Source organism: Homo sapiens, chromosome 1 (assembly GCF_000001405.40).
Source record: "Homo sapiens chromosome 1, GRCh38.p14 Primary Assembly".
Classification (NCBI taxonomy): Eukaryota; Metazoa; Chordata; class Mammalia; order Primates; family Hominidae; genus Homo; species Homo sapiens.
Window position 1 is genome coordinate 112,084,776 of NC_000001.11, and position 11,337 is coordinate 112,096,112.

At 42.4% G+C, this 11,337-nt stretch overlaps 1 long non-coding RNA gene across 1 annotated transcript; it reads right to left on the minus strand.

Annotated features, from left to right (window-relative positions):
* Nucleotides 1-1,919: 1,919 nt before the first annotated feature.
* Nucleotides 1,920-10,776, minus strand: LOC124904319 (uncharacterized). The gene is made up of 2 exons (XR_007066407.1): nt 9,676-10,776; nt 1,920-3,160 (listed from the first exon to the last, which is right to left on the minus strand). It is a non-coding gene; the product is annotated as an uncharacterized LOC124904319 (long non-coding RNA).
* Between the last annotated feature and the right edge of the window lie 561 nt (nt 10,777-11,337).

Sequence of the window (11,337 nt, forward strand, 5' to 3'; positions counted from 1 at the left end):
TTCTTTCTTTCTTTCTTTCTTTCTTTCTTTCTTTCTTTCTTTCTTTCTTTTTTTTTTTGAGACAGAGTTTCACTCTTGTCACCCAGGCTGGAGTGTAATGGCGTGATCTTGGCTCACTGCAACCTCCACCTCCTGGGTTCAAGTGATTCTCCTGCCTCAGCCTCCTGGGTAGCTGGGATTACAGGCACGTGCCACCACGCCTAGCTAATTTTTGTATTTTTAGTAGAGACTGGGTTTCTGCACGTTGGCCAGGCTGGTCTTGAACTCCTGACTTCACATGATCCACCCACCTCGGCCTCCCAAAGTGCTAGGATTACAAGCGTGAGCCACCGTGCCCAGCCCCACTAGATATTTCTTATACCCACTGGCCATAGAGTAGGGCCATAGAGAGTATATAAGCATGGCAGGAATGCTGAAGTTTGAGACAAAAGGGAGTAGCATGGGGATGGTCCCCACATCAGTACGACTTGCAGGGTCCCCTGCCCATCCACGCAGACCTAGTGACTAAGAGCCAGACTAGCGGTGATGACCAACAGGAAGGGGCAGCAACTTGCCAAAGGTAGTCATGTAGGTAGGTGTTTTTTTTCCTTTTACTCCCCTACATATCCCTATACAGCAGGGGGTAAAGGCAGGGAAAAGAGAGGGTATGAATAAGAATGCACAGATTCTCCTTCTGCTCCCTCTTTACTTTTTAGTATAAGCTGCAACTGCAGCCCACCCTTTGCGGATAAGAGGAAATCTGAGGACATTCATGAATCAATTAAATACAAAATTAAATGTTTTAAATATGAAAGACTAAGCTTAAAACCAAAACAATGCCACCTTAATAACTGAATGTGACTGAAAGCTATGGAACTGGATAGTGTTGTCAAGAATCTCTTTTCCCCAGTGAGAGAGAGATGGATTTGACATGGCACAGTAATCGGGAAATATTGTAAAAGTAAAAGCATTCCATGTTTAAAACCTGGTGAGTTTGAGATTTTATCATCAAACTTGTTATAGCCCTAATGTAAAGTGCAAAAATCAAAATATAAAATTGTATATGTGGTAAGCTTCCATTTTGTAAAATATACAAAAGGCTCAAAGAAAATACATGAGAATGATATGGGTAGATGGAATGATGAGTAATTTTAATTTTCTTCTTCATGTCTTTTTTATTTTCCAAACTTCCTCAGTGGGTACGTATCACTTTTATAAGCAGGAAAAAATATCCAGAAAACGTTTGTTTGCTGTGTAAGTTTCTTCCTCTGAGGTCCCACACTTTAGGGCAGGTGCCCCACCATTCTTGGCTGCCCTAGTGCTAAAGTTCCCTTCAAGGACAGAGAGACAAGTCTTACTCGGGAATGAAATAAGGTATCTGTCTAACCAAGATCCTATTTTAGATGTTGATTTTAGTGTTTGTGAAACCTTTACTTTAGGGATGCTGGGTCATAGCAATCCCAGGAGCTGGACCCTCAAAACTTTATGGCCTTCCCCTTGGAGTCTCTGAAAACTTTTAAAAGAACCACATTCTCAGGAGCAACGGACTACTGTGTCAACCGCAGTTGGTTTTCCTAGGGCCAGAATAGCAGAATAGCATGTGCTTGTTGTACATCCTGAGCAGCCTGGTGGGATTTTATCCATATAAATAATCCACATGATGTCAGCTCTGATTTTTCGTCCCTTGATATGGAAGTATGAATGGAATAAGGTTAGCGAAACAGGACTTTTCTAAGACATAGCTGTTTGCCTGAAGATGAAGCTTGAGTAAAATGGTCTCCACAAAGCTGCTGCTCTAACACCTGCAATACAGGCATCCAGAGGTGCTCAGAAGCAGTTAAACGGTTGGAACTATGCAAAGGCCACTGGCTTCACTAAGGGAAGCCAGGAGAAAAGGATAGTCATAAGGGTTTGAGAGAAGGCAATAAGATGAGACTGCATTTCTGCCAACAATGAATTTTATTTGTCTCCAAGAATTTATGCCATTTTAAATCCATTTCTATCAACAAAGAACTACAAAGAAGGAAAAGTAGCAGCATGCCAGAGAGAGAAATACTCAAAGACTCTGATCATTGCTGGGCTGTCACTTCAGAAAGTGCCTGTGTGTCCTGCCCTGCTTTTGGAAGATTTGGGAGGTTATAACAAGTGCTCTCTCTCCAGATTCTGAGTGTCTAACACCTTCTAAGAGGGATCAAAGCCTTTAATAAAATTAAAATGGAAGACTTGTGTAACCATGCCTCTGGGAGAGAGTAAACAGTTCCTTAGAATTACATTAAGGTGTAAATGACCAATGTAATTTCAGATCCTATGCTGAAAGCCAGTTTTCATGGCAGGTGAAGAGTAGTGATTAGGAGGTGGAGTGCCTGGAGGAGAGAAAAGAATCTACCTGCTAAGAAGGGAAAAAGGACAAAAGAGGGAGGCTCAGGGCAGCAAACTCAAACTAACTTCACCCTCTGGCTTATAATTGGTGCAGTTCCCAGGAGGATACAGAAAACTCCTGCTTTGGGAGTGTCAGACTGTGCCCAATTGGCCCTTTAGATAGTATGTTCAACTAGTGTTAATTTTTTAAGTGAGCTATACAAGAGCTTGGGGAAGAATCAGGAGATACAGAGTTAGGGACATCTACCTGCACAGTAATTACAAGACTAGCTACAATTTGCAAATCATTTATACTTCCTTTTTGGAGTGCTTTTTCATTATTGGCAATGTCTCCTTGACACTGCCTCTATGAATTATCCTCATTCTTTGACCACAGTATTTGGCTTTGTCATATACATGGGCCATTAGCCAGAGCTTGGAAAGCTTTTGTTGTATATAGAGATTTCTATCACAGGGATGTCCAGTCAAAAAGTTGTGATGTGATTTCCCCCAATTAGCTCATGTTAACCTCAAGATGATCAGTTTCATTTCCTTTCCTGCTTCTTCCTCCAGTCTCACAACTGTTACCTTACCAATAGCTTTACCCCTTTCCTACCTCCCAAGGAAGAAGCACTGTCTTTCCTCCTGTCCAAGATCACACCTTCTTCTGTGCTCTGTATCTTATTCCAACCAACCGGCCCTTGCCTCCTCAGGGGCCAGGAACCTTGTTCCTTCAATTATCTCCTCTCTTTCTTATATCTTCCTCTTCTCTTTTAAGGCTGGCTTCTTCCTGTAGTCACACTCATGCTCAAGTCTCTCGTACCTTAAAATAAACAAAAACTTCATTGATTCAGTGTTCCCCACTTCTCTTTGCAGTTCAGCTTCCAGAAAGAGAAGATTTCAATTGCTACCTCAATTTTCTTATTTTCATTCAGTTCTCAACCTACCTCATTCTGACTTCCACCTACCAGCCATCCATTCAGGCTGTTTTCATTGAAAAATTCTTATGTTTCCTGAGTGTATGAGACCTTTCCAGTCCATAAATTTGCTTGACCTCTCTACATTCAGCTTTGATGACCACACTCCTTGAAATGTGTCTTGACTTTCCTGACCCCATTCTATCTTTGTCATCTTCCAATGCTGAGGACATTCTTGATCTCTCTCATGGGCTTATCTTTCTCTGTCCACCTTTTGAATGCTGATGCTTCCCAGGGTGCTGTCCAGAGCTGTTGTTGACTCCATGCACTCAACTTGGGGAAGTTCATCTTCTATGCTGGCTCAAATACCACTTATGCAATGATTCCCCTCTCTGTATCTCCTCCCCAACTCCAGCTTCCCCTGGATTCCAACCCAATATATCCCCATTGGATAGTTTAAATTAGATATATCTACATTTAACTAATTTAGATAGGAACTTCAAACTCATATCAAAAACTGAACTCATATCTTCTTCCTAGAATGTACAAATTTAAAGTTAGTTTCCTTTTTACAATCTCTCATTGCCTTCCTTTGACATTCAGGATAAAAGTCAAGCTCCTTAGTGTGGCCTACAAGGCACTTTACAGAATCGTCGTTAGCCCTACATATGTCTCCTGAAGATTTCCTGGTCCTTCCACCCATCCTGAAGCACTCATTTCCACTTTTTCCTCAGCAAGACAAGATTTCTCATAGTCCTATAAAAGGACCTTGCTGTTTCATGCTTTTCCACCTGTCTATCCTCTGTCTGCAATGTTCTATATCTCACTTCTCTTTTCTATTTACAAAATCCTACTAAGGACCTCTGAGGTCTCCCCATTATATTAGAGAGATGAGTCATTGTTCTGGTCCTAAACTTTGTACATACTTGGACTATTTTCTGTACAATCCTACTTTTTTATTATACATCTGTCTTTCTGACTGAGATTTTCTGCTTTTTATGGGCTAGGTCTGTAGCTTATTCTTTTTTTTTTTTTTTCTGACAGCATCTTCGCTCTGTTGCCCAGGCTGGAATGCAGTGGCACAATCTCGGCTCACTGCAAGCTCCGCCTCCCGGGTTCATGTCATTCTCCTGCCTCAGCCTCCCAAGTAGCTGGGACTACAGGTGCCCGCCACCACGCCCAGCTAATTTTTTTGTATTTTTTAGTAGAAACGGGGTTTCACCGTGTTAGCCAGGATGGTCTTGATCTCCTGACCTCGAGATCCGCCTGCCTCAGCCTCCCAAAGTGCTGGGATTACAGGCAGGAGCCACCACACCTGGCCTCTTATTCATCTTTATGCCTCCTGAATCTTTACTTTTCTGGTTTCTAGTAGATGCTCAGTAAATGCTTTTGGACTAGGCTGATTTTTTTCCCTTGTGGATTGAGAAGCAAAAGAACTAATAACTGTGGGTATTCATTGTGAATAATGAATATCTTTGAAATGTTTATCATTGTTTTTGAAAATGAAAACCAGTGCATTTTTTCCCTCCTATCCTTCCTCTTCTCTTTCCACCCTGGTTCTTCTTAACCCCTGAAAAATTTATTGACATTCCTCAAAAGTGCCAAAAACATGGAAGGACTCTTGTAGGAAGGTGGAGGAGTGAGGAGTGCTCAGCAGGTTGCACATTTGTTTAAGATTTACTCCCAACTGAACATGCATGGAAAATCAATACCATGTTTACTTTATTATGGGACAGCAGCTCAAAAAGGAAAACTCACTCATTCCAATGAGTATCAAAGTCAGCAATGTCAATGGAGAGGCAAACAGATGTTCCCAATTCTAAACATTTCAGGTGAAGGGGCAGGGATTCTGGATTGAGTTAATAAAGGAGTAGAGAGCAGCTAGGGAGGCATTTTATTTCTAATACATTGGAAAAGCCACTCTGTGAGTAACATCAAGAAAAACAGTGTGCATGGGAGCTGGAGGAAAGACCTGGTAGATATCAGTATCTTCATATAAGGGCTTCTTTCCCTGTGGTTCAGAATCCTGGCAGAGAAGTCAGGCTAACCATGGGAAGTGTAAGGGCGGAAAGGGATCACCCCCTTTCCTCCCCATCACAAGGGTCGTGGCCAGCACTCCTGTAACAAAGGACAGGTTAACAAGAAAAAAGCACAACAAATTGATTTGATGATAGTTTTACATAACATGGGAGCTTTCAGAATGAAGACTCCAAGACACAGGGTAGCTATCTGACTGTATGCTTAGGTTCAATGAAGCAGGGATGGTTGTCTAGAAATGTGATTTTACAAAAAGGGTATGATCTAATGGTAATAGACTGAGTGGAAAACCAAGCAAGGCCTGTCCAGATTCTCCTTGGCCTCTCTGTCATAGCCTTTCTTCTTCCCATGTATGGGATAGGACCCCTCTGGAATGAGGGTCTTACTTCCTTTATGACCAGCTGTTACACAGAAAGAAATGAGAAGGTTAGAGTAATATTTGTAGGCTTTATGGCTGGTTTGGTAAGGGGAAGGGGTTCTGATTTCTATGACCCACATTAGGGAAGAGAAATTCTAGTTTCTATGGCTGCCATGGGGGAGGATGAGAGGTGAGAGACAGGAGGGCAGGAGAAGGTAAGAAAAAAACTTTGCCTTGGAGGCTTTCACTTTGGGTTATCATTTTCTGAGCTCCAACAGAAGAAAAAATAAATATTTAAACTGAGACAGAAACCCAAGATAGTGGTGCTTGTGAACCAAGTGGGCTTTTTCCTGAATGAGAAGCACATCAGGAAATATCTGTCCTTAGGCAAATCAGTCCTTGGCTGGGGTGGGAGGTAGCAGCAAAGACCCAAATCCTTAATGGCCCAGAGTACTCCTCTCTATGAGGGACCAATAGACCAATGCTGCTCCAACTTCTGCCACAATTTCAAATTGTGTGCTAATGATTTCACTGGAGGTTCTTTAAACACCTCAAACCCAACAGATTGTCTCTTTGAAACCCTCATCTATAAAAATCTCCATTTCCCCCTATTTTCCTGTTCCTCTTGCTGTCCTGCACTCGCCTTTACTCCTTCCCTCTCTGTATACAATCAGATGGCAAGTCTTTCCTGTCCAGTTTCACTGCCACTGCCTTTGCTTAGGCCATTATCCCTGTGATTAGATTTCTTTATTACAAAGGCCTGTTGGTCTGTACAACAGATGCCTAATACCTCAATTCCTCTATGTGGCTATTGGAGTTACTTCTGACCATTTCCCCCAACCTTAAAAACCTTCAAAGTCTCCCCATTGCACCCACTATAAAATCCAGACTCCTTATTCTCTAACACTTATTATTCATTCTCAAGTATGCTCTCTAATCTGTAAAGTTCTTTCTATTTTGACCACAATGTACATTTTCAGCATTTTGTCTCCTGTTTACCTCACCCAGGTTCCTTTATCCGAGCCCAAATATTGCTTTTGCATTGCCATTTTTATACTGTCTGTTAGCCTTGAAAAATGTTATCTTCAAAATGAATACATCCCTCCAAACCTTCCTTCCCTGCCCCTAACCCAGGTGATCTCCCCCATATCAGTTCCCTTGCACTTGATATCTCTAGTGAGATACTAGGGACTTGCTTCCTTGCACTGTAATGTACATGTACTATCAACCCAACACTAGCCTGCAAGTATGTTTAGGGAAAAGACTGCATCTTATTGTATTAGCATTCCCACCATATTAATGTAGTGCCATGCTCATAGAAGAAGGCAAGAGTGAATAGAATAATAGAAGAACAGACTCCTGGGACTTTAAGGAGGATGCCTCACCTTGGACCAAGGTTCTCTAGAAGTATGGTCTTCAGTGTCACCCACCTAAAAAGTTCTCTTTCTTGGCACCCCCACTTGCCTCACACCCACCCCCTAACACAGCCACAAATAAATTTGAATTAGGAGATAGGCAGGACTGGGTAAGACCAGAATGTTGTCCTGGGCTAGGTGATTTAGGAATAATTTTGGAAGGAGAGCAAGGTGATATTTCAATTGGGGTGGAGGAAGAAGGGAAAGCATTCAGAGAAAGAGGTGGCAGATGAATAAACACAGAATTGCAGAGGGAGTGGTGTGGTTGTGATAGAGGACAGGGAGAAATTTCTCTTGGCTGGAGCAGAATCTCCACAACGGGAAATGGGGGGAAATGAGAATGTTCAGATGGGATGGAGTGGGGTCCACATAGGGGCCCTAAAGTTCAGACAAAGCAAATCAGAGACTTTCTTCTCCAAGGCCTACTGCTCAGCTTATCTGCAGGGACTCGCTTGCTCAGGAAGTTTAATGTCAAGTTTAAACATGTGAGAATGACCAGGTAATAATTCTAGCTCTGCTACTTCCTAGCTTATCTGGCATTGGGAAAGTAGTTTAATCTCTTTCTGTCTCAGTTTTCTCATCTTTAAAATAAGTACATAACAGCGCCTACTTTTTAGGATTATTATAGGATTAAATGAGTAAAGCACTTAGAATAGTGCCACAGCTATGTAAGCTAATTATTAGCTTATAATATTATTAGATAATAATATTTTATTATTCCTGGGGAGACCCCAAGACTAGATCCAATACTTGACATCATAACATTTGTCAAAGCAGAAAAATCTCAGGTATTTTTTATACCAGAAAATATCTCTTAACATTTTTAATAAAGTCATACAAAACAGTACCAAAGCTGGGGGAAGGGCAAAGCCAAGACTCTAAAGCCAAATGTGGAGACCCATGTGGGGTCCTGATCCGGGAAGCCAACCCAGGAAGGCATCTGAGACAAGGCCTTGAAAGATGCTACCAGTTCCAGCCGGGACAGGACTTAGCCGAGAATGAGTGTCTGCCCTGGGGACAGGAAGAGGGGCAGAGCGGGCTCCCCCAACCCCTGCCTGGAGTGCTGGGGAGAGGTGCTGAGCTGAGCCTCATTAGCAAGAAGAAGCTGACTTCAGAGACCACACATCCTTGTGCCATCTCAGAAACGCTCTGAGAAAGTCAGTAAACAGGTATTTGGGGAGGCTTTTAAAAAATCCCTGTGAACACATTCTTAGCTAAGAATATAAGTTGAGAGAAAGGAGCTGCCAACTTGTGAGAGGGGCTGAATATTATGAAGAGAATATTACATCCCCCTCTGGGAAAGATGACTGACACAGCAAAGAAACTTAATGAGACTCAATATCCTGCTTCCTCTCGCTGCTCCTTTGCAGAGATTGGAACGCAAATCTCTGGAGTGGGGGAGGTTATTTGATGCAGGGTAAAAAGCAAGGTGTTTTGCAGCAAGTGTTTGTTAAGTTTTCCTTGGGCTTAAAAGGCCAGCAGGGGCCTTTCTTTGCAAAACAAGAAGTAAGGGAAAAACAAAGCCTGTGTGTTGAGATCCTGCAAAGTTTACCTTTTCATTAATTCTTCAGAAACTACAAGAAAGGAGACCTCAGTCCTGACATGATGCCATCAGTTCTTCCAAGTGTCCCTGAAGGGGCTGGGCTATACCATTTGCAGGGCACAGCTCCCCAAGTAGAGGAAACACGAGCCAAGTTGGACAGACTTTCTTCTCACCAGGTAGCTGGAAAGAGCATCTCTTTTCTATTTACCAGGGAGGGAAGTAGCAATAAAAAACTTATCTAGGTGATTTGGGGGCAGAGATTAACATGATTCAACTGCCTCCAAATACAGTGTGCCAAATACTGAGGTAGGCATAATGTATAAATTATCTCTTATGAATGCAAAGATAAGATTCTAACCTTAGCTGAATTGATACATGATTAATTGAAAAGAAACAGAGAGAGACAGAATGAGGGAGGGAGGAAGGAGGAAGGAAGGAAGGAAGGAAGGAGGAAGGAAGGAAGGAAGGAAGGAAGAAGGAAGGAAGGAAGGGAGGGAATGATCTTACAGTTAAATAGACATCAAATCCTGGGTTGGCCCTGACAGTGCTAACAAGCTAGGCCTTCAGTTTCCTCCCCTAAAAATCAAGATTGTTGTTAGGTGGATGTGAAAGTTCCTAGCACAGAACCTCTTGTATAGTAGGTGCTCAGGAAATGCTTGCTTATTTATTAATTTGCCTAAAAGGTAAGGTTGTAGTTGTGGGAAGAGTGATATTCAGAATCTGCAGACCTGAATTCAAGTTTGACGTTGCCACTCATTAACTGCATGACTTTATGCAAATCATTCAGTCTCTCTAGGCTTCAAATTTCTCCTTCTTGATAAAAAAAAATCTATCAAATAGGATTGTTGTGAAGGTGAAATGAAATAATATCTGTAAAATGCTTAGCACAGTGACTTGCCTTTTGAAAACTCTCTGTAAACAGTACTTAGTACCAGCTGCTTGGTGAAAGGGGTTTGGGGGTGGGAATGTGTAGAGAGCAGTTAGCATCCCGGTCATTTAAATAGTTACATGTACCGATTCCAAATATCTCAGCTTCATCTTGCATGAACGTGTAATGCTATAACTAACCTGGCAGTTACAAAAGTGGAAGTCCACCACCTAATTGAGCTTTCATTATGATTGGTGAGGGCCAGTGAGTGGGGAAATGCTGCAAAGCTGCTCCCAAGGAATCTGCTGGGCCATCTACACAGGAGCCTGCTGATCCTCCCAACTCAGGCAGAAAAAGTGTTCGGAGCTCCGGGAGATCTGTTTCTACTTATGGTACTGTAACATCCAACTTGGAAAACACTGTTCACCCACCACTCATTGCAAAGAAGAATGTGTGGGCACCACAGACCACACACCAAATTGTCTTGCTGAAAAAGAAACAGCTAGACAGTCTCTCTTTACTGCAGACACAGTGGTATCACTGAGGGAGCATTTAGGGGAAGAAAGAGAAGGGAAAAAAGAGAAGGCAGCTAGCTGACTTTTCTGCACCATCCACAGAGACCTGTCCTCGAGGGCACTCCCCTCCGGATTCCCAGCACTTGGCAAGCTGGGGAGTTGGGATGCTCGAAGTTTTGCAGTCTCATCTTTCATCTTCAATGACAGTTTGAGTTTATTAAGAAGTAGGTACTGCATCTCTCCTGCCAGGTCTTGGGGAAGGTTGAAGTTGATTAATGCTCATGGGGCCAGATAGAAGAGGGAGCCTGTGGTTTGGCCATCACACAGAGAGGAAAATGAGGTCAAATGGTATCTAAAGGGTAGCAAAGGGTGCAAAGTAGGCCCTGCAGGAACACCCCCTGCAGATTACCCTCTTTTGAAGTCACATGAACACAGTCAACCCAGGGCTTTTTTGGTTTATAGAGTCTCAGCTGACGTTCATTATGTTTGCTACCAGCTCCTTTGATTGGGACAGTCTTACATTTTGGAAAACATCATGTGATATGATGAGTGGTTGCCAATTTACCTTCCAGTGCTTTTTTGACCTGGATGAACTGAGTTCTGGAAGGAGCTATCTTGGAAAAAGCCTAATAGAGTTTTAATTCTTGCAAGGAATATCCATTGAAGAGGTAATTGCAAGGCGATTACCCTCAGCATGGCTAAGAGAAGATCTGAGTTGATCTCGCCATTCCTTTCCTTACTGTCTGTTGGACTTGGAAAAGTCGGTTATCCCATCTGAGCCTTGGTTTCTACATCTGTAAAAAGAAAAAAATAATAATTATAGGGGCCAAGGGAAAACTTCCCGTCTGACTTCTGAAGGTTCACTGAAAAATCAACTGACAAAAGGCAGATTAATAGGAAAAATGGCACACAAATTTATTAGTGTTCACAGGGGAAATCACAGAGTTATTACCCCACCACACATGAAGATGGTACAGATAACCATCTTCTTAGGGGAAAGAGAAATGGGGAAGTGTAAATGATTTTAGAGGAATAGTAAATGATTTTTAGGGGAATTCAATGGAATTGGGACAAAGTCTGTTGGACCCACAGACCAGACAATTGTTGTGATAAAAGTCTGTCCAGATTTGTTGATAGACTTCAGTCTTTCTTCCTGTATTATGAGTTCAGTTACTGAAAATTCAGGAAAGGGACCAGACATAATTGTTTTCTTCTTTGGTGGGTCCCAAGTTTAGGCAGATAAAGAACCTTCAGGAAACAACCTCATCCTGTGATTTGGGAGAGACAAAAGGCTGAGAGACAGAAAATGGGGGCAGGTGGGAAATGTAAGTGTCAGAGAGATACTGA